Here is a 22,266-nt window from a genome sequence, read left to right on the forward strand (position 1 = left end):
TGAGATTGCACCACTTCACTCCAGCCTGGGTGACAAAGCGAGACGCCATCTAAAAAAAAAAAAAGAAAAGGAAAAAAAGGAGTTATCGTATATTGAACATTTACTATGTGCCAAACACTGCTAAACAAATATTATTCCATTTCATCCTTAGAACGATCACATGAGATCCATATCCCTTGACTGTTCAGCATTACCTTCACACAGGTGATACAATGGATACTCAGAGAGGTTAATTTTTTTTTTTTTTTTTGAAGCGGAGTCTCACTCTGTCGCCAGGCTGGAGTGCAATGGCGCAATTTTGGCTCACTGCAACCTCCGCCTCCTGGGTTCAAGTGATTATCCTGCCTCAGCCTCACCAGTAGCTGGGATTACAGGCATGCACCACTGCACCCAGCTAACTTTGTAATTTTAGTAGAGATGGGCTTTCACCACGTTGGTCAGGCTGGTCTTGAACTCCCGACCTCAGGTGATTCGCCCGCCTCAGCCTCCCAAAGTACGGGGATTACAGGCGTGAGTCACTGCGCCCGGCCTTTTTTTTTTTTTCAGACAGAGTCTTGCTCTGTCGCCTAGGCTGGAGTGCAGTGGCGTGATCTCGGCCCACTGCAACCTCTGCCTCCCAGGTTCAAGCGATTCTCCTGCCTCAGCCTCTTCAGTAGCTGGGACTAGAGGTACGTAGCATCACGTCTGGCTAATTTTTGTATTCTTAGTAGAGACGAGGTTTCATCATGTTGACCAGGCAGGTCTTGAACTCCTGACCTCAGGTGATCCATCTGCCTCTGCCTCCCAAAGTGCTGGGATTACAGGCGTGAGCCATCGTGCCCGGCCAGAGAGGTTAATTAACCTGCTCAAGGATCACAGGTGGTAGAGCTGGAGCTTGGCATTCAGTCTATATTTATCTGACTCTAGAACTTGTGGTCTGAATTGCTACCCAAGGTTTACAATCATTTATGCAGAGTCTAATTCAGTAGGAATAGTGTGGTGCCAGAAATTTGCATTTTTGACAAGCACTCCAGGGTCCTGGAGAGCTACACTTTGAGAACACTTCCTGTCACAAATAGAAACTGCACGGCTTCCATTAGAAAGATGAAACTCTTTAGTAACAGAAGACTTATTCTGGGGTGGACCAAATGCTGGGCTTTCCCTCCTTCTTTGAGTAGAAGAGGAAGTTAGAAGAGGGTAATAAGATGCAAAGATTTCTTATCTCTTCCTGTCCCTCAGGCCTCCCTGCCCCCACCTAAGCCCCAGAAAAGTGCACCTCAAATGAATTTGCCTGAAGAGGTATAACATTGCCCTTTGCTGACAAACCCCTGAGCAAACATGTACTGGTTATTTGGTAACACTCAAAAGTCTAATCGTAGCTGGCCACGGTGGCTTATGCCTGTAATCCCAGCACTTTGGGTTGGGAGGCTGAGGTGGGCAGATCACCTGAAGTCAGGAGTTCGAGACCAGTCTGGGCAACATGGTGACACCCCATCTCTACTAAACACACACACACACACACAACACACCATCTCTACTAAACACACACACACACACACACACACACACACACACACACACACTAGCCGGCGTGGTGGTGCATGCCTGTAGTCCCAACTACTCAGGAGGCTGATGCAGGAGAATCACTTGAAATGGAAAGGCGGAAGTTGCAGTGAGCCGAGATCGTGCTACTGCACTCCAGCCTGGGTGACACAGCGAGACTCCCTCTCAAAAAAAAAAAAAAAAAAAAGGATCTAATGGCAGTTTTGGCAGTTCTTTTTTTGTTTTGTTTTGTTTTTGTTTTTGTTTTTTTTGAGACGGAGTCTTGCTCTGTCGCCCAGGCTGGAGTGCAGTGGCGCAATCTCGGCTCACTGCAAGCTCTGCCTCCCGGGTTCATGCCATTCTCCTGCCTCAGCCTCCCAAGTAGCTGGGACTACAGGCGCCCTCCACCACGCCCGGCTAATTTTTTGTATTTTTAGTAGAGACGGGGTTTCAATGTGTTAGCCAGGATGGTCTTCATCTCCTGACCTCGTGATCTGCCCGCCTCTGCCTCCCAAAGTGCTGGGATTACAGGCATGAGCCACCGCGCCTGGCAGCAGTTCTGAGGAACAGTTTGCTCAGGCTGTCAGATCTGGAAGTGTTCGTGGCTTGCTGAGCAGAGACAAGAGGACAAAGCCTTAGGTGTAATCTAAATACAACGGATTTGCAATGAAACAAGTGGCCTGGTCTCCAACCGTTTCTCCACACGCTCTGCCTTTCTGACAGCAAATCTATGTTTGGCAAGGAATGGGATGGAGACTTCTTCCCACCTGGTGGCCAATGTTTTCTTGAACCTCTATATCACCCTTCAGCTCCTGGGTGGGGTTGATGGTCATCCACAGAGAATGGGGGGACAATATACCTGTGAGGGCCCAGCCACTGGTCAGTGTTCAGCAGAGGAGAAATACAGTAGAGAAAGAGCAAGACTATGCCAGACATTGTGCTGGGTATTTGACTAACATGATTTAATCTTCCAATAACCCAGAGAAGTGTAGGGATTCCATCTTCATTTGCCACATGAAAAAACGGAGACACAAATATGCAAAGTAACTTGCCCAAGATCATCCACGTAATAAGTAGAGTCAATTATTAAACCTAAAGGCCTTGTCCTTTCCATCCAGCTCTGTGCCACCGCGAAGGGCCACCGCTCTCTGCATTAGTTCCTCTGTGTAAGATCTCCTCTTCCAATCCAAACAGGCTCCACTCACAAGCCTTGGAAAAACGCCACCAGCCCTTGGGTCCAAGAATAACATAAATGCAATGAGCCATTTTCTGAAAATGAGATGACATATGTCAAGCATTCAGCCCAGAGCCTGGTACTTTTCAGACTGCTCAGCCGGGGTGGGAGGGTCCCTGGGACAGGGTGTTTCTGGTTTCAGGAGATTCTACTGGCCGTTTGGTAACAAACATTTATCAGGTAACTATATAAATGGTCAAAACAGGAAGAGCAGGGCTGGGCACAGTGGCTCCCAGGACTTTGGGAGGCTGAGGCAGGTGGATCACCTTAGGTCAGGAGTTTGAGACCGGCCTGACCAATATGGTGAAACCTTGTCTCTACTAAAGATACAGAAATTAGCTGGGCATGGTGGAGGGTGCCTGTAGTCCCAGCTACTAAGGAGGCTGAGACAAGAGAATTGCTTGAACCTGGGAGGCAGAGGTTGCAGTGAGCTGAGATGACACTACTGCACTCCAGCCTTAGCAACAGAGCAAGACTGCGTATCACAAAAAAAGGAGTCATGGGAGTCATCCTGATTGGACCAGCTTAGATCTCAGGAATCCATCCCTGCCTGCCAGGGGGATGGAATGAGCTGACTGGCTTAGCTTAAGTGGCATGCTCTGTCCTTGGAAGCACATGGACCCTCAAATGAAAATTGGGAGCTCTCGTGGGAAGTGGGGTTTGTCAGGGAGACAGCCACAAAGATCACAACAGGAAAGTTGCTTTTGTGAAATAAAAAGGCAGGAAGGCACAAGCAGTATATGATTGTAGCCCACAGATTTGTTTGGCTAGAGCAGAGCATTCTTTGTTCTTGAAAGTGAGTTGTGAGAAATGGAGCATTTGGGAGGGAGTTGGGGGTGCTGGAAGGGGCCTTGTGGGGAGCCTGCGGGGCCTCAGGCTTTGTGTGAGTCTGGGAGTTTTAGTGCAGCATTTACCGGATTACTAGCAAATTCAGGAAATGAGCCTGTTTCCTCCTATTATAGAGCCTAATCCTTTATTCATTAAATGGAGTATTTACTCAGCCTTAAAATGTTCAGCGTGGGGGGTTAGAAAAGAAGGGAGCCCACAGCTGCTGAGAGCCCACTGTGTGCTGACACTAGGCTGGAGGCTTCTCCTACGTTTTCTCTTTTAATGCTCCCAACCTCCCTCTCTGCCCCATTTCACAGATGGAGAAGGAAAGGCAAGTGACTTGTCCAGAGCCACTCTGTCAAAAGGGGACTTGAGTCCTCAGGGCTGTTGACTCCAAAGCTGACAAGCAGGTAACCACATTGGGGTTTTCTCCAGGACATGAGAATTCCTTTGTCCTGTGTATCACATCGAGCACCTGGGCTGATGACCCTTCTGCATGGTGTACCCACCTCACAGCCTGAGCTTATCCTCAGCTACATCCACTATGCCCAGAGACACTGATGAATGCATCTGGGAGTCTGGAGGGAGGGGTCCACTTGTGAGTTGAGGCCCCATTTGTACCCGCTCCACCAGGACTGAGGACAGGAAGTCACGCCTAGGAGAACCAAGACGGGGTTGACACCAATGGTACCCACAGAGCATCCTTGTCCCAACTGTCACCACCATCCCCCTCCTCCTCCTCACACCTGCATCTCCAGCAGTTATTGAGCGCTTGCAACATACCCGGTGCTCTCTCAGCACTTTACATACATCATCTCCTGGAACTATCCCAAAGCTTTTTTGAAGCAGGTGCCATTATCCTCCCCATTTTGTAGATGGGAAAGCTAAGAAATGACCATGGAGGCCGAGGTCACAGCAAGGGGCTTGTCCCTGTAAGGTCTATACACTCATCCCCATTTCCTTTTCCCTCTTTAATTTTCTTTTTTATTTTTGGAGACAGGCTCTCACCCTGTTGCCCAGGCTGGAGTGCGGTGACGTGATCATGGCTCACAGCAGCCTTGACCTCTGAGGCTGAAGCAATCCTCCCGCATCAGTCTCCCGAGTAGCTGGGACCACAGCTACCATGCCTAGCTAATTTTTGTATATTTTTGTAGAGACAGGGTCTCACCATGTTGCTCAGGCTTGTCTCAAACTCCTGAGCTCAAGCCATCCACCCTCCTCAGCCTCCCAAAGTGCTGGAATTAAGGCGTGTACCACCATGCCTGGCCCATGCCCCATTTTAAAAATGAGTAAATTTAACCTTCGAGAGGTTGCCCACTAATCTCACATGGCTGGCAAGTGGCTGAGTTGGGATCTGAACTCAAGTTCTGTCTGACTACCATGGATGGGCTGAGCACTGCTGTGAAGGATAATTGTTGAGTTAAAGAAAACCTTTGGAGAAGTGATTTGGCCTTGTGGATCTTTCCCTGAGCACAATTTCCAGCATGTTCCTGAGAAAGCTTAGGATCCTCTTTGTTGGAATAAGCGCAGGTCCTTCCTCGGGGCATCTATGCCCACTAACGTCACAGTCATCCTCCACTCCCACTTTTTCCCCTTTCCCGAAAACATCTCATATGGGGCTCCGAGCAAGCCCTGGGAGGAGCTGCTTCCTGGGTGACTGTGTCCCCCGGAGGAATGTACACCTGCAGCAAGACGAGTGGGACATTTTTGAAGCCTCAGGCCACACACATTGTCCCCAAGACAAGGCTGATGCGGCTAGTAAGCCTCTTGTTTTTGAAGGTCACAAACAACAAAAACATGGAAACTCAGAATGGAAGGGGGCCCATGAGAGCAATCTTGAGGCATAACAACAGCTGCAGAAGGTGACTGCAGGGAAGCGGACTGTGCTCCTATTCTTTATGTTCTGTTTTTAGCTGTGTTTTTCAGAGCAAGTAGGTACCATGGTGATAGGTACCATAGAAATAGATGGAGCGCACCACCCAGCACGGGGCTGCCAAGCTGTTCCCCTGGAAATGCACCGAGAGCTGCCAGGGAGAGCCCAGGGACTCTGCTTCCTGGGGCCTGTCAGCTGCACGGCCAGGGAAGAAGTCCCCTGTAGAATGGTCCCCAGAGGCTTCTCACTGTCTTGCTGTCATTGTCCAAGGTCCCTGATGGTGCATCCTCCTCCTGGAGCACCTGTGGCCTTCCTCTCTGAGTCCTCAGGAAACTCACTTAAGGGGGTTTGCCTTTGCCTAGTGAAGCAATTATCTTGGCCAACAGTGACCTCAAAAGTAGCACTGCCAGCATTCCTGTCTCCATAGTTAGGAGTGCGTGGTCCTCATCCTGCCTGGATGTGGCACTGTCACTGGTTTTATGCAATGTCATAAAGAATTTGTGGGGCAGGAGCTGAGTTCTGAACATTTGGTAATCAGGAATACTCATAAAATGAAATTTCAGAGGATCTAACCCAGAAAGCCGAGCAAGGTAGGGCATAACCACGTCTGATATGGTGGTTTTCAGTTTGTGAAGCCACAGGCAGTACAGAATAGGGCCCAGCCTCAACTATTTTTGGATGCAGCTTGAATGGACTGAAAGACCCTTTGAAACAAGTGCTGGAACCATCCCGTAGCACTTACATAACCATCTCTGCAAGGCTGTTGATAGATGAATGTAAATGAACCTAGGCAGAGCTTAGCTCATTTTTATTTAGATTTAGACCAATTTCATGTCTTCTGAAACGTAACCCATATATACACACACTAAATCTAACTCTTTTATTTTAGGCCTAGCATGAGAGGATCAAGTTGAAAGGGCATCTGTTATTATATCTGTCCCATCATATCTGCTTCTGTGATGGCTTTATTATGTACATTTCTTTCTATACATTTGTGCTCTCAGGTGGCATTCTTCTTCAGAGCAGGGCAAGTGTAATTCTGGACCAATGTGTGATTCTGAGACCAGACCAACCAACTGAAGGTAATTTTATTCTCAATTAAAGAAACACAGACGGGGCGCAGTGGCGCACGTGAGCCTGTAGTCCCAGCACTTTGGGAGGCTGAGGCAGGTGGATCACTTAAGGTCAGGAGTTCAAGACCAGCCTGGCCAACATAGTGAAACCCCATTTCTACTAAAAATACAAAAATTAGCCAGGTGCAGTGGCACGCACCTGTAATCCCAGCTACTTGGGAGGGTGAGGCAGGAGAATCGCTTGAACTAAGTAGGTGGAGGTTACAGTGAGCCAAGATTGCACCGCTGCACTCCAGCCTGGATGGCAGAGTAAATCTCTGTCTCAAAAAAGAAAGATACACACATCTCTAACAAAGGATTTTTTTTTTTTCTTGAGACAGGATCTCTCTCCATCACCCAGGCTGGAGTGCAGTGGCTCCATCTCGGCTCACTGCAACCTCCACCCCCAAGGCTCAAGCGATATTCCTACCTCAGCCTCCCAAGTAGCTGGGACCACAGGTGTGTACCACCATGCCTGGCTATTTTTTTGTATTTTTAGTAAAGACAGGGTCTCACCATTTTGCTCAGGCTGGTCTCGAACTCCTGAGCTCAAGCGATCCACCCACCTTGGCCTCTCAAAGTGCTGGGATTATAGGCATGAGCCACTGTGCCTGGCTAGGAATTTATTTTAACAACCAAAAACTTAAAACTCAATAACATCATTAACTCATAAATTATTGTTTAGTTACAGATTACGAAAATGATAGAACCAGAAGGTGCTAACAAAATGTCTGTCCTGCATGTGTGGCATTTGACATGAAGAAACTGAGGCCCTTGCTGGGCGCAGTGGCTCATGCCTGTAACCCCAGCACTTTGGGAGGCCAAGGCAGGAGGATCACTTGAGCTCAAGAGTTCAAGACCAGCCTTGGACAAGATAGTGAAACCTTGTCTCTACCAAAAAAATACAGAAGTTAGCCAGGCATGGTGCAGTGTACCTGTAGTAGCAGCTACTGAGGAAGCTGAGGTAGGAGGATCGCTTGATCCCAGGAGGTCAAGGCTGCAGTAAGCCGTGATTGTGCCACTGCACCCCAGCCTGGGCGACAGAGTGAGACCCTGTCTCAAAAAAAGAAAAGTAAAGGCTACGCGCGGTGGCTCATACCTGTAATTTCAGCACTTTGGGAGGCCGAGGCGGGTGGATCACCTGAGGTGGGGAGTTTGAGATCAGCCTGACCAACATGGAGAAACCCCGTCTCTACTAAAAATACAAAATTAGCCAGGCGTGGTGGCGCATGCCTGTAATCCCAGCTACTCGGGAGGCTGAGGCAGGAGAATCACTTGAACCCGTGCGGCGGAGGTTGCTGTGAGCCGAGATGGTGCCATTGCACCCCAGCCTGGGCAACAAGAGCGAAACTCTATCTCAAAAAAAAAAAAAAGAAAAGAAAAGAAAAGAAAGAAACTGAGGCCCAAAGAGTTTGCATACTTTGCTATTAGTTCAGCCTGTCTTCTGTGTATGCAGGTGGTGTCTCTAGGTCGTTATCACTCTGGCAAATTCTCTCCCAGTGATGGAGATGTGTGGAGCCCCCAGTCTCTCCAACCAGGGAGTGGTGCTCATGGTGACCCTGAAGTAGGCTTGTGGGTCAGGCCGTTGGTTGAGCTGTGCAGTGCCAGAAGTAGCTAAACATCCTTAAAGGAACTGCCTAGTTTATCATTAGGACTAACCATGGAACCGATGACTCAGCGTTTACTGTTGGCAGTATCATACACTCAACCTGCATGTAGATTTCGTGCATCATATTTTGTGGTTACAGGAATTTGGCCTGATGGACCCGTTGCAGAAACTCTGTACTAAATAAGCAAACACGTGTGCTCTAGTTTTACAGGCCAAGCAAACTGTGAAACAGAAGGGTTGGCCTTTCTTGCCCTTAGCAGTCATACCTTGGACTTTTGCCACTTGGTTGGGTTGCTTTATTTGGCTAAGTAACTAAAAGCAGATTTACTTTGAAGAATGAGGTTCTCAAATATTCTAGAACTCTCTAAGAATGGACATTCACAGTCATGCTGGGCAGACAGAGTTATTCCCAAATTTTCAGAGTCATAAAGCTTATGTTTGGGCTGGGTGCGGTGGCTCACACCTGTAATCCCAGCACTTTGGGTGGCCGAGGCGGGCGTATCACAAGGTCAGGAGTTTGAGACCAGCCTGGCCAATATGGTGAAACCCTGCCTCTACTAAAAATACAAAAATTAGCCAGGCATGGTGGTAGGCACCGGTAGTCCCAGCTACTCAGGAGGCTGTGGCAGGAGAATTGCTTGAACCCAGTAGGTGGAAGTTGCAGTGAGTGGAGATTGCGCCGCTGCACTCCAGCCTGGGTGACAGAGTGAGACTCCATCTCAAAAAAAAAAAAAAAAAAAAAAAATCCAGTTTGGCCTGTGTGAAGCACCCACACAAAACCTTCCTTTCCCAATATTAGCGCCTTCCTGTGGAGCTGGAACAGGGGCCCCGGGGCTAGAATATTTGATATTCAAGACACACACTGAGTCTGGTGTGGTGCTTTTCAGCAACACATTGAAAAATTGTTGCTTTTCACACCAACAATTTGAAACTAAACATTTAATGTGAATGTTTCTTTTTTTTTGAGAGAATGTCTCACTGTCCCCCAGGCTGGAGTGCAGTGGTGCAATCGTGGCTCACAGCAGTCTTGACCTCCTGGGCTCAAGCAATCCTCCTGCCTCAGCCTCCTGAGTAGCTGGGATTACAGGTGCACGCCACCATGCCAGCTAATTTTTTTAGTTTTTGTTTTTTGTAGAGATGGGGGTCTCGCACTCCTGGACTCAAGGGATCCTACCGCCTCAGCGTCCCAAAGTGCTGAGATTCCAGGCATGAGCCACCACACCTGGCCTTAATCCGAATGTTTTTTAACAATCACAACTTGATTTTTAACATTTTAATTTAAAATTTTTATTATGGTTAAAAATATACAACATACAGTTTACCATTTTAATCATTTTTAAGTGTACAGTTCTGTGGCATTAAGTACATTCACATTGTTGTGCAACCATCACCACTCTCCATTTCCAGAACTCTCTTCATCTTCCCAAACTGAAACTCTCTGCCCATTACACGGTAACTCCCCATTCCCCACCCCATCTCCTGGACCCAGCCTGTGGTCACCACCATTCAGCTTTCCATGTCTGTCCATCTGTCTGTTGTGGGTGTCTTATAGAAATGGAATCATACAATATTTGTCACTTATGTCTGACTTATTTCAGTTTGCATAACGTGCTCAGGGTTCACCCATGTTGTAGCATGCATCAGAATTTCCTTCCTTTTTAAGGCTGAAGAATATTCTACTGTATGTATATACCACATTTTGTTTATCCATAATTTTTCTATAGTTTCTTATTTCTTTGTTGTTGTTGTTTTGTTTTTTTGAGACGGAGTCTCGCTCTGTCGCCCAGGCTGGTGTGCAGTGGCGTGATCTCGGCTCACTGCAAGCTCTGCCTCCGGGGTTCACGCCATTCTCCTAACTCAGCCTCCCAAGTAGCTGGGACTACAGGCGCCCACCACCACACCCGGCTAATTTTTTTTTATTATTTAGTAGAGACAGGGTTTCACCATGCTAGCCAGGATGGTCTCGTCTCGATCTCCTGACCTCATGATCCACCTGCCTTGGCCTCCCAAAGTGCTGGGAGTACAGGCGTGAGCCACCATGCCTGGCCTATTTTTTTTATTTTAAAATAATTGCAAAGTGACAAAACATTTCAAGAATGGTACTAAAGAAAATCTTTTTTATATCTCATTATTCATCTTTTTTATTTTTTCTTTTCTTTTCTTTTTTTTTTTTTTGAGATGCAGTCTTGCTCTGTCACCCAGGCTGGAGTGCAGTGGTGCGATCTTGGCTCACTGCAACCTCCGCCTCCTGAGTTCAAGAGATTCTCCTGTCTCAGCCTCCTGAGTAGCTGGAATTACAGGCGTGCGCCTCCACACCTGGCTAATTTTTGTATTTTTAGTAGAGACGGGGTTTTGCCATGTTGGCCAGACTGGTCTTGAACTCCTGGCCTCGGCCTCCCAAAGTGCTGGGATTACAGGCGTGAGCCACCCCACCCAGCCCTTCTTTTTTCTTTATAGACAGGGTCTCATGTCATAAGAGACCCTACCCGCCATTCCCCACCACGGAGTCCTACCTTACTCAGCTCCACCTTGTGGCTTTAGGACTGGATTGTTTAGAAAGGGGAGGAGAAGGGACCACCATTTGCTTTCATTGAAAATATTTGTTTTGGCCAGGTGTTGTGGCTCATGCCTGTAATCCCAACACTTTGGGAGTCCAAGGCAGGAGGATCGCTTGAGCCCAGGAGTTCAGAAAATACAGCCTGGGTAGCATAGTGAGACCCCCATCTTTACAAAAAAATAACAGAAATTAGCTGGGCACAGTGGTGCATGCCTGTGGTGGTCCCAAGCTACTCAGGAGGCTTAGGTGGGAGGATGGCTTGAGCCTGAGAGGTTGTGGCTGCAGTGAGCCATCATTGCACTACCTGCACTCCAGCCTGATGACAGAGCAAGACCCTGTCTCAAGAAAAAAAATAAAGAAAGAAAATACTTGTTTCATTAACAATTCTTTGCATGTGGGGAGCCCTTGTATTTAACCTATTAAATAAACAAATCTTAATTATGACTACCAGCATTTCCCCAATCTTGTCTCTGCTATTATAATACCATTTTTTAAATAAAATGATTATACAGTTAGGATGCCTTCTTCCTTGCAGCAACACTTATTTTGCAAATTTGCAGTTGTATTTAGGCTACCACCAGCAACTCTCTTGGCAAACATTGAGCAACTCCTACCACAAAAATTAATGAGTAGAGAGACAAGGTCTGCACACCTACTCATTTTGTTCTTCCATTATCAAGTTGTGGGACTCTGGGGAAGTGATCCAGGGGACATCTACAGAAACCAAAAATGGAGTTTTGTAACACTGTGAGTTGTTTATTCTTGTAAATAATAGGATCTTCTTGACTGGACTGGAAGCTTCAAGGAAGCTGTGTCTTCTGTTTTTCGTGTGCATCCTTCGTGGTTCTAAATATGATGCTACATGAATATAAGGTGTTTCCTGTCGTTGTGGGCTGGTGGAGCTGTGAGGGCTTCAGTGGGATAAACTGGAAGAAGGAGCCTGGGTTATGAAGTTCAGTGGATGCTTCTTGGGTTTTCTCTTCCTTGACCTCCCCGGACCGTAAATTCCTCCTTGAAATACTTGCTTCTGAATCACAAAGTTTCTCTCCTGCCTCCCTGGCCGCCTTTTCTCAGCTGCCTTTGTGTGAGCCACATGCTCTGCCCATCCCTCCTGACAGTGAGCTTTATTTACTTATTTATTTATTATAGACACAGTCTCGCTCTGTCGCCCAGGCTGGAGTGCAGTGGCGAAATCTCGGCTCACTGCAACCTCTGCCTCCCTGGTTCAAGCGAGTCTCGTGCCTCAGCCTCCCCAGTAACTGGGATTATAGACATGCGCCACCACACCTGGCTAATTTTTGTATTTTTAGTAGAGACAGGGTTTCACCATGTTGGCCAGGCTGATCTCAAACTCCTGTCCTCAAGTGATCCGCCCACCTCGGCCTCTCAAAGTGCTGGGATTGCAGGCGTGAGGCACCGCACCCGGCTGACAGTGAACATTTATTGGGCACCTCCCGTGTGCCAGGCACTGTTGATGCTGCACATCCAGCAGTGAGTACAACAGATGGAAAGGCTTGTCTTCTCTGAACTGAAAGGAAAAGAGGAAAACCCCCTCCCTTGGGTGTGAGCCTGCTTGCTTGTTTCTGCGTCACGGGAACAACCTCAGCTGTTCCCCATGGTGTGATGAGCACTGCCTGCTCATGCAGGCCTTGCCGGGCCCATGAAGGATGAAGGCAGCCTCTCCCCTGCAAGGTTCTTTCCTATGTGAACCCAAAAGTATCTAAGACAGAGCTCAATCAACTTAGAAAGTTTATTTTGCCAAAGTTAAGGATACAGCGTTAACATACAGCCTCAGGCGGTCCTGAGGACATGCACCCAAGGTGGTCGGGGTACAGGTTTTTATTATTTTTGTTTGTTTGTTTGTTTTTTGAGACAGGGTCTCACTCTGTCACCCAGGCTGGAGTGCAGTGGTGCGATCTCGACTCACTGCAGCCTCTGCCTCCCGGGTTCAAGCAGTTCTCCTGCCTCAGCCTCCCAAGTAGCTGGAATTACGGGTGTGCACCACTATGCCCAGCTAATTTTTGTATATTTAGTAAAGACAGGATTTTGCCATGTTGGCCAGGCTGGTCTTGAGCTCCTGACCTCAGGTGATCTGCCCAACTTGGCCTCCCAAAGTGCTGGGATTACAGGCGTGAACCACCATGCCTGGCCACAGCTTGGTTTTATACATTTTAGGGAGACCTGAGAAATCAATCTATGTGTGAGATTGATCAGCCTTTCACTGAATACACAATTTCCATGTGAGAGGAGGGTAGAGGAGTAGTCACTTATGCCTTAGTCTGGCTCAGTGAATCTACATTTTTACATAAACAATAGGGCAGAGGAAGCAATCAGATATGCATTTGTCTCAGGTGAGCCTCAGAGGGATGACTTTGGGTTCTGTCTATTCTTTGTCGGGCACCCATGAAAATAAGCTGTCAATTTACATTGCCAGGGTGAAATTCAATAGAACTGTTTTAGGGTAAAGATGTTGAAGCCCACAAGGAATTCATCTTTTAGCGATCTTATTTAGGAACAAAATGAGAGGCAGGCTTGCGCAGTTCCCAGCTTGACTTTTCCCTTTGGCTTAGTGATTTTGGGGTCTCAAGATTTATTTTCCTTTCACACCTGCGAGAGAGACTTTCTGATGCTCCTTCTCTGCCCTGCGCTCCCATCTCATCTGCCAACTTTGCGCTTTGGCTGCCCTGCTGTCCGTCCCCGACCTGCAGCCCTACTAGCTTCCTAAAAGGCAAGTTTCACAAATCACTCACTGCTCAGTACCTTCTGTGATTTCCTGAGGCTCCGGGATAAATCCAAATTTCTTCACATGACAGGTGGGTCCCCATGAGCCAGCCGCTGCTTTCCTTTCCAGACCCAGCTCCCGCCACCTCCTGCCTTGTGTCAGGCTCTGCAGCACGGACAGCTGGTCCCCCCAGTACCTCCCTGCCTTGCTCCTGCTGGCCCCTGGGCCTAGAGGGCCTTCTCCCTCCCCAGCCTGCTTCTAGTCTGACCCCTACTCTCCTTTTAGACTCAGCCCCTTCTCCTCCACCCTGAGTCCACAGGCCCCGGAGCGCTAAGCACATGGTGTTATAGTTAACTATTTACTTTTCTATCTTTTCCTGGAAGACAGACACGATGGTAGATGGTAATTATGCGTTTAATGTCTGTCTCCTGGGACGGTAAACCCCTGTGAGTGTGGGCTGTGACTGTCTTATTCACCACTGTGTTTTTGGCACGGGGCCCAGAGTAATAAACATGGGTAACACTTCCACAGCGCTAACTGTGAACCGGCCAGAAGTGTCCTGAGAGCCTTACATGAGTTTACAACTTTAACCCTTACCACCACTCAGTGAGGTACTGTGATATTATGAGATATGTATTTGGTCTTCCTCTGGTTTCCTGGCATACAACTTCTAAAATCCTTGGAATCTCCAAAGAGATAAACGTGTTTTTATAGGCTAGAGAGTTGACTGATGGCCAGGCGTGGTGGCTTTGGCCTTGCACGGCGGCTCACTCCTATAATCCTGGCACTTTGAGAGGCCAAGGCTGACTGATCATTTGAGCCCAGGAGTTTAAGACCAGCCCCGTCTCTACAAAAAGAAAAATTTAAAAATTAGATGGGCGTGGTGGTGCTCACCTGTAGTCCCAGCTACTCAGGGGACTGAGGTGGGAGGATTGCTTGAGCCCAGGAGGTTTGAGGCTGCAGTGAATTGTGATTGTACCACTGCACTCTAGCCTGGGCAAGAGAGCAAGACCCTGTTTCCAAAAAAAAAAAAAAAAGGACAGAAAAGACAAAAGAGCAGAAAGCCTCTCTTCCATCAGGGCCACCCCAAGGCACAACTCCAGAGGGCGCCATTCACATAAAATGTAGTGCGACAGCCACTCCTGCTCAGGCCCCAGTCTCCCACTTTCCCCTCTGAGGGCACCACTGATACCAAGCTCTTCTCCATCCTTCCACAGATGTCTATGTGGATGTGAACAGAACATGGGCATGTCGGTTAATAGAGAATTCTCCACCTTGCCTTGTTAATTTTGCATCATTGGGAGATTATTTCAGATAAGGTGTGTAGGGTAGCCTCATTCTTTTTTTTTTTTTTTGAGATGGAGTCTCGCTCTGTTGCCCAGACTGGAGTGCAGTAGCGTGATCTCGGCTCACTGCAACCTCCGCCTCCCAGGTTCAAGTGATTCTCCTGCCTCAGCCTCCCGGGTAGCTGGGATTACAGGCATGCACCACCACACCTGGCTAATTTTTGTATTTTTTGTAGAGATAGGGTTTTGTCATGTTGCCTAGGCTGGTCTCAAACTGCTGGGGTCCAGCGATCCTCCCACCTTGGCCTCCCGAAGTGCCGGGATTACAGCCATGAGCCACTGTGCCCGGCCTGTTTCTAAATCATTTCTTTTACAAACAGTGCTGCTGTGTACTCAGTCACTGTTTGAGCACATCTGTAGGATACAGTCCTAGGATTGGATTGCTTGGGTAAACAGAGAAATTACTTTCTAAAGGTGGAATTTCAGAAATCTGTGACAAGCATACATGAGATATTTTTACACTGAAGTTTGGGGCTTGTCAGATCTGGCTAGGGGTTGACTGTCTGTGGGGCTCCTCTCTGATATATTTGATGTTAGGGAATGATGTTTCTGGGTTTGATAGTTTGTTCTCTAAAGAGAAAAGAGAGAGCTCAGAGCAGAAAGGTAGCTTTTTGGATTCTAGCCAGGGCTCACTGATTGGATCTCATCTCACCTCACTTCTAGAGGAAGACCACTCCGGAAAACAAGATACCTGGGCCATGCAGCAGTGGGTTCCCCAGTGCCCTGATAGAAAGTCTGAGAAGTTCAGGATTCAGTCCCTAAAAGCATATGGGCTGAAGAGGCTCTGGCCCTAAAATCACCTTGTTGGGGATAGTGGGAAGGTCCCTGTTATTTTTAAAATATACTGAGGATGTGATTCCTAACACCACAAAATGGGTGGGTGGGTGAATGGATGAATGGCTGGGTGAATGGATAGATGGATGAATGAATGGGTGAGTGGGTGGATGGATGGATGGATGGATGGATGGATGAATGGGTGGATGGATGGATGGATGGGTGGATGGATGGATGGATGGATGGATGGATGGATGGATGAATGGGTGGATGGATAGATGGATGGATGGGTGGATAGATGGATGGATGAATGAATGGGTGGATGGATGGATGGGTGGATGGATGGATGGATGGATGGATGAATGAATGGGTGGATGGATGGATGGGTGGGTGGATAGATGGATGGATGAATGGGTGGATGGATGGATGGATGGATACATACATAGATTCATACATATAGAAAGGTAAATAGTGATCAAACAAACATGAACTTAGACCTGCTTTATTATTAGGTAACTTCTTTGAGCTCGTTGGACCTCAGTTTCTGTCTGTAATAGGATTAACAATGCCTTTTTTGTGTGTGGGACTATAGTGACAAACTAACAGATGATGTACGTAAACGCCCTAGCATGGTCCTGGCACACTGTGGGTCACCATATATGGTGGTAGTTGCTATCATTTACTGTGAGTGGGCATTCTCTGATTGGTGTATATTGAAGGCATTTTTTTTTTGACTTTGCAGGAGCCAAGTTACACCCTGTTTAACCCTGCCTTCAAAGGGACGACTCTGTAAGGTAGGGGCTCTCAGCCTTCTTTTCCTCCCAGCATGCACGGTGGGTGACACTGGGGTGCCTGGCACACTCCCAGCATGCATTTCACAGGGCAGGATTTCTGGCAACACTCATTTCTCTCCAGGCCAGGAAAGCAACCTAGAAATCAACTTACATTTACATTAAAACAGTACATAAATAAAGGAAAGAGAAGGCAATAACCCTCAGACTTTGGTCTCCTGGCTAAAATGTATTTGCAAAACAGCACACAGCTTGCACCTGCTGCCCTCTAGGGTAATAATGAGGGTGGGTGGAGGTACCTGTGGGGTGGCCCATTCCAGTGGGTTTGGGCAAATGAGGACGGTTATCAGAGGAGTGGCTGCTATTCCCCACAAGGTTATGGAAAGCTTCTCTCTTTGGCCTTTGCTGTGTGCCAGGCAGAGGTGCTAGGTCCTCTCTGCAGTGTGCAGTGACCCTGGGGAACCACAGACATTCAGGACCCTGGCTGGTAGCTCAGTTGCTTGGCTAAGGTGGTCAGGCTTGCCAGGCCCAGGCGTTAGGCAAGCCCAGGCCTGACCTGCCAAAGCAGCTGCTTTAAGCCTCAGAATCTTCACTGGGCAATGGAATCCTACCTCACCTGACTCCTCCCAGCACCCCCTCCCACTAGCCTGCGGGGACTAAGTGTTCTCTCCCCTGTGTCCCCACAGCACTTTGTTCCCACAGCTATTAAAGTACTCACTGTTGGCTCTAAGTACATCTCTCCTCCTTCCAAAGCAATATTCTTTTTGTTTTGTTTGCTAGAGATTTCATGTAATCTCAAATTCTTTGTTAAAATGGCCCTGGGGTTTACATTATTTTCTATCTAGGAGATTAGAGTTGAAAACATAAATTGGTGGTTTGGAATTCCACTGAGTTCTTCTCTTTAGATAGAATTGTGGAAAGTCAGGCTTGTCCAGAACCCTCACTATGGGCACTGTCCTTGAATCCTGCTCTCATTCATTCTGCAGTCAGCTAGTCATCCAACAAACACTTACTGAACTCCCACCTTTGTGCCACTATGCTAGGCACTGGGTATATTTGGATGAAAAGGACCTTGGCTATGCTTTAGAGACCAACACAATGTGGTTATCTAGCTCTAGATTTTGTTGACATACTAAAACCTATCTTTTTTTTTTTTTTTTTGAGACAGGTCTCACTCTGTTGCCCAGGCTGGAGTGCAGTGGCGTGATCTTGATTCACCGCAGCCTTGACCTCCTGGGATCAAGTGGTCCTTCCACCTCAACCTCCCAAGTAGCTAGGACTACAGGCATGCAATACCATGCCTGGCTTTTTTTTTTTTTTTTTGGTAGACATGGGTTTTTGCCATGTTGCCTGGGCATGTCTTGAACTCCTGGCCTCAAGCAATCCTCCTGCCTCAGCCTCTCAAAGTGCTGGGATTACAGGCGTGAGCCACCACACCTGGCTAAAACCTCTTTTTTTAATAGCATAAGTCAATTTAGGCCAGGTGTGGTGGCTCACGCCTGTAATCCCAGCACTTTGAGAAGCCAAGGTGGGCTGATCACTTGAGGCCAAGAGTTTGAGACCAGCCTGGTCAACAAGGTGAAACCTCGCCTCTACTAAAAATACAAAAACAAGCCAGGTGTCGTGGCACATACCTGTAATCCCAGATATTCAGGTGGCTGAGGCATGAGAATCTCTTGAAGCCAGGAGGCGGAAGTTGCACTGAGCTGAGATTGCGCCACTGTACTCCAGCCTGGGAGACAGAGTGGCGAGACTCTGCCTCAAGAAAAACAAACAAACAAAAAAGAAGTCAACTTACAGGATTCCTTTCTGAGCACAATTTCCTAGAGATTTGAGACCACCTCTATTTTTTAAAAATCATATTTTTTAGCTTTTAATTGTGATTTAAAAAACACATTCTACTTTTAAAAATCTACAATATCTATTTACTCACCAAAGATTGTATAAGGCACTGTGCCTAGAGTGGGGTTAGGGGAAGGACAAAGAAGAAAACACAAAGTCCCTATACCTTCTAGAAACCTAAATCTAAATAAGGGAAGTCACATGTCGACAGAAACTCGGCCTCTTATTTCACTTGCGATTGCGGTGGTATTCATTCGTCTGTTCATTCAACTGTGTGTATTTTGGGCACGTGCTATGTGCATAGGCTGTGATGGGTGCTCTGGAGCCTGTGGAAGAAGTCTCACATGTGTCCCTGCCCTCGAGGCCCTAGGGAGAGAAGGGAGTTCAGAGTCAAGTAGAATAATAGGCCACGGTGCCTCCTGGCCAAGGAGCCCAGCACCAGCCTTTTGGAGAAGACTCTGCAGCTCCCGAGGAATGGAAAGCTGTTAGGGAAGGGAAGGGGGACGTTCCAGGCCAAGGGAGGGGCACAGGGAAGTTTGCGTTAGGAATTTCTCATCAGAAAAGGAGATGTGACGGGGGAGAATGGATTCCAAACAATGCCCACCACAAGGCAGGCCCAGGAACAGGGCCAGGAAAGGGTAGGATGTGATGTGGTATGTGAAGCTATGTGAGGCTGAATCTGCTGCCTTCAGGGGGCCACACTTTCTAATTTGTTCCCTTTCCTTCCCTCACCCAGATTCTCTGCTACTTATTCAAGTTGACACGATGCCCTTCACACTCCACCTGAGGTCCCGCCTTCCCTCTGCCATAAGGAGTTTGATTCTACAAAAGAAACCAAACATCAGAAATACATCCAGCATGGCTGGAGGTAAGTGGTGCCAGATAGTTAAAAAAAAAAAAAAAAAAAAAAAAGAAAGTTCCTGGGAATTACCAGCTGTGTAGGGCCCACAAACTCCTAAGACTTCTAGATTCTGCATAGGAAACAGAAAGTAAGAGCAGAATGATATTAGCTCTGGTCACTATTTAACTGCTCAGAAGAAACTGGAACCTTGGATTAGACTCAAGGTATGGAAACCCATCAGATGGGTCTAATGACACCCAGTTCTGCTTGGTCACCTCAGCCCCATATGGAGAACCACCAGTGGGCTCAGGTGATGAAAAGGGTTGTCCCTTCTGGGAAAAGTGCCCCCAGGTTACACTGCAGTTTAACCAGATTTTGATTCAGACCAATTCTTCCTACCCTTGACTGGTCTTATTCTCTGGTGGCACCCATTTCCCTACTGTCTCCTGGGAGTGATACTGAAGGCTCTAAAAGGTCCTGCAAGAGAAAACAGATACCAAATTTGTCATTGACCTAAGTCCAAGCAAAATTTCACATTAAAAAAGACTCGTCTGGTTATGGTATAAGTGCCCAAGGAAAAACCATCAGCACCATCTAAAGTACTAGAGCAAGACCATTTTCCTTTAGTTTATTAATATGTCTGGCCTCTGTTGCTCTATATGGGCTAACAGAGTTAACTGTTGTATAACAAGGCACTCTTTTTTGTTGTTGTTGAGACGTAGTCTCGCTCTGTCGCCCAGGCTGGAGTGCAGTGATGCGATCTGGGCTCACTGCAAGCTCCGCCTCCCAGATTTGGGTTCATGCCATTCTCCTGCCTCAGCTTCCCAGTAGCTGGGACTACAGGCGCCCGCCACCATGCCCAGCTAATTTTTTGTATTTTTAGTAGAGACGGGGTTTCACCGTGTTAGCCAGGATGGTCTCCATCTCCTGACCTCGTGATCCGCTCACCTTGGCCTCCCAAAGTGCTGGAGTTACAGGTGTGAGCCACCGCACCAGGCCCAACAAAGCACTCTTAAACTTAGTGGCTTAAAACCATTAATCTCACAATTCTGCAATCAAGGTTGGTCTTAGCAGGGCGCTTCTTCTGTTCCATGTGGTGTCTGTTGGGGATAGACCATCCAAGATGGCTTCTTCCTGACATGTCTGGCATCCAGTGGGACATCTGAGACTGGCTGAACATTTCTTCTCCATGAAGCCTCTTCAATAGTGGTCGCCAAACTTCTTTACATGGGACGCCATGAGACAGATTCCAAGAGAATAAGTCCTAATGCCCAAACGCATACCAAGCTTCTGCTTGCATCACACTTACTAATGTCCCATTGGCGAAAGCAAATCACAGGGCCAAGGCCAGAGTCAATAGGGAAGGGGCTACAATGGGGTGTGAATACTGGGGAGCATAGTTTATATAAATTGGTGCAAAAGTAATTGCGATTTTTGCCATTTTTTTTTTTTTTTTTTTAAATAAAAGTAATGGCAAAAACTGCAATTACTTTTGCACTACCTAATATATACAGAGAGAGCCACCAAGGTATTAGTCTACAGCAACCTGTTATATACGAGCAGCGAACACCAGCTTAACCCCAGGTTGACGACTGCTTGCTAGGACCCTGGGAGGCAACAGAGCAGAGCAGCCAGGGTCTTGGAGCCTGGAGGGAGACAGCCTGAGTATGAGTCCCAGCTTCGCTCTTTACTAGCAAACTGTGACCTTTCTAAGCCTCACCTACACAATGAAAGTAGCAGCAGAACCTTCCCAGTGGGACTGTCGGGAGGGGCACCTGAGCTGTTCCCCGCTGCCGTGAAATGCTCCTCAAGGAGAGAAGCTCATTTTACCAAACAGCTGGGAAACTCCAGCTTGGAGCTGTCTTCTGGGGGCTTTCAATCAAATTAGAAATGTTAAAGGGTGTTTTTTCCTCTCTCTTGTCATTAAGTTAAAAAAAATGATTTTGAGGTAAAAGGACTCAGAGAAATCACTCAGTTTATCTACAAAGAAAAGTGTTACTGCCTTCCATGGAGCCCAAGGCAGCTGGGGGATGCACAAATCACATTAGACCATAAAGTATCCTCCAAAAAGGTGAGGCCTCCAGAGTCCACCATCCTCTCCAGAAAGAGACCATGAAGGCTTCTATTCTGTGTCCTGTTACTAATGGGGACAACTTGGGGACTTTTCTGTTCATCTCCAGCTGTGGAGATGAACAAAACCAAAACAAAACCTGCAAAGTTCATTTAATTAAAAAGGAAACAAAGGGCCGGGCACGGTGGCGCACGCCTGTAATCCCAGCACTTTGAGATGCCAAGGCAAGTGGATCACCTGAGGTCAGGCATTCAAGACCAGCCCGGCCAACATGGAGAAATCCCATCTATACTAAAAATATAAAAATTAGCTGAGCATGGTGGTGTGCACCTGTAGTCCCAGTTACTTGGGATGCTGAGGCAGGAGAAGCACTTGAACCCAGAAGGCGGAGGTTGCAGTGAGCCGAGATCGCACCATTGCACTCCAGCCTGGGCGACAAGAGCGAAACTCTGTCTCAAGAAAAAAAAAAAAAAAGGAAACAAAGAAGCTTTGTGCACATACCATCCTGATTTATTGTATTAAAGATACAATTTGTGCTGGGCATGACGGCTCACACCTGTAATCCCAGCACTTTGGGAGGCCGAGGCCAGCGGACTGCCTGAGGTCAGGAGTTCAAGATCAGTCTGCCCAACATGGTGAAACCCTGTCTCTACTAAAGATACAAAAGAATTAGCCAGGTGTGGGGGCATGCGCCTCTAATCCCAGCTACTCGGGAGGCTGAGGCAGGGGAATTGCTTGAACCCTGGAGGTGGAGCTTGCAGTGAGCCAAGATTGCGCCACTGCACTCCAGCCTGGGCGACAGAGTGAGACTCCGTCTCAAAAAAAAGAAAAAAAAAAATCCAGTTTGTTCTCACAAGGGGCTTTGGCAGTAAGAAGCGGGTGAGTAGGGAGTGGGAGGCCTCTAAGCCAGCCAAATCCCCTCCCACCTCGCTCCAGATAACTTTTGGAGCCGTGCTGGGCTTGCTTGAGACTGGCATCAGGTTCCTTGGGCTTTCGGCAGCTGGGGGTGTCTCACGTGTCCTCATTTGGAAAGTCTGCTTGTAGCATTGGCAGGCACTGTAGCGACTGTGATAATGAGCTCCGGGCCCTGCGATTTGAGCAGGAGCTGGTCCTGGACATTCCCAGCGGATGGTTGCATCTGTTTC

The 22,266-nt window shown here is 47.6% G+C and overlaps 1 protein-coding gene across 12 annotated transcripts in view, besides 4 other annotated features; it reads left to right on the top strand.

The window, feature by feature from the left end:
* DGLUCY (D-glutamate cyclase) overlaps positions 1-22,266 on the top strand; it is a 165,300-nt gene that overhangs the window by 80,988 nt on the left and 62,046 nt on the right. For 6 of the 12 annotated variants that reach the window (NM_001358312.2, NM_001358310.2, NM_001358311.2 and 3 more), the window contains exons 2-3: positions 16,319-16,370; positions 18,946-19,077. In NM_001358312.2, the coding sequence (NP_001345241.1) occupies positions 18,975-19,077 (103 nt within the window). In that variant the 5' untranslated portion in view covers positions 16,319-16,370; positions 18,946-18,974. Of the gene's footprint in view, positions 1-3,900; positions 3,994-6,460; positions 6,539-7,253; positions 7,533-16,318; positions 16,371-18,945; positions 19,078-22,266 lie in introns of all 12 variants that reach the window. The other 6 variants (NM_001102366.3, NM_001286472.2, NM_001102369.3 and 3 more) reach the window with 3 other exon arrangements.
* Positions 816-915: an enhancer, noted in NCBI's record as "active region_8893". NCBI's record gives its function as "activates an Ori minimal core promoter by ATAC-STARR-seq in GM12878 lymphoblastoid cells {active_cell/tissue: GM12878}" and the evidence as "EXISTENCE:reporter gene assay evidence [ECO:0000049][PMID:35858748]".
* Positions 966-1,135: an enhancer, noted in NCBI's record as "active region_8894". NCBI's record gives its function as "activates an Ori minimal core promoter by ATAC-STARR-seq in GM12878 lymphoblastoid cells {active_cell/tissue: GM12878}" and the evidence as "EXISTENCE:reporter gene assay evidence [ECO:0000049][PMID:35858748]".
* Positions 11,404-11,682: a silencer, noted in NCBI's record as "fragment chr14:91619068-91619346 (GRCh37/hg19 assembly coordinates)". NCBI's record gives its function as "represses an EF-1alpha promoter that drives an FKBP-Casp9 reporter gene in an ReSE screen in HepG2 liver carcinoma cells {active_cell/tissue: HepG2}" and the evidence as "EXISTENCE:reporter gene assay evidence [ECO:0000049][PMID:32094911]".
* Positions 15,005-15,299: a silencer, noted in NCBI's record as "tiled region #3148; HepG2 Repressive DNase matched - State 8:EnhW". NCBI's record gives its function as "represses a minimal TATA promoter and a strong SV40 promoter by Sharpr-MPRA in HepG2 cells {active_cell/tissue: HepG2}" and the evidence as "EXISTENCE:reporter gene assay evidence [ECO:0000049][PMID:27701403]".

The sequence above is a fragment of the Homo sapiens genome, chromosome 14 (assembly GCF_000001405.40).
Source record: "Homo sapiens chromosome 14, GRCh38.p14 Primary Assembly".
In the NCBI taxonomy this organism is placed as follows: Eukaryota; Metazoa; Chordata; class Mammalia; order Primates; family Hominidae; genus Homo; species Homo sapiens.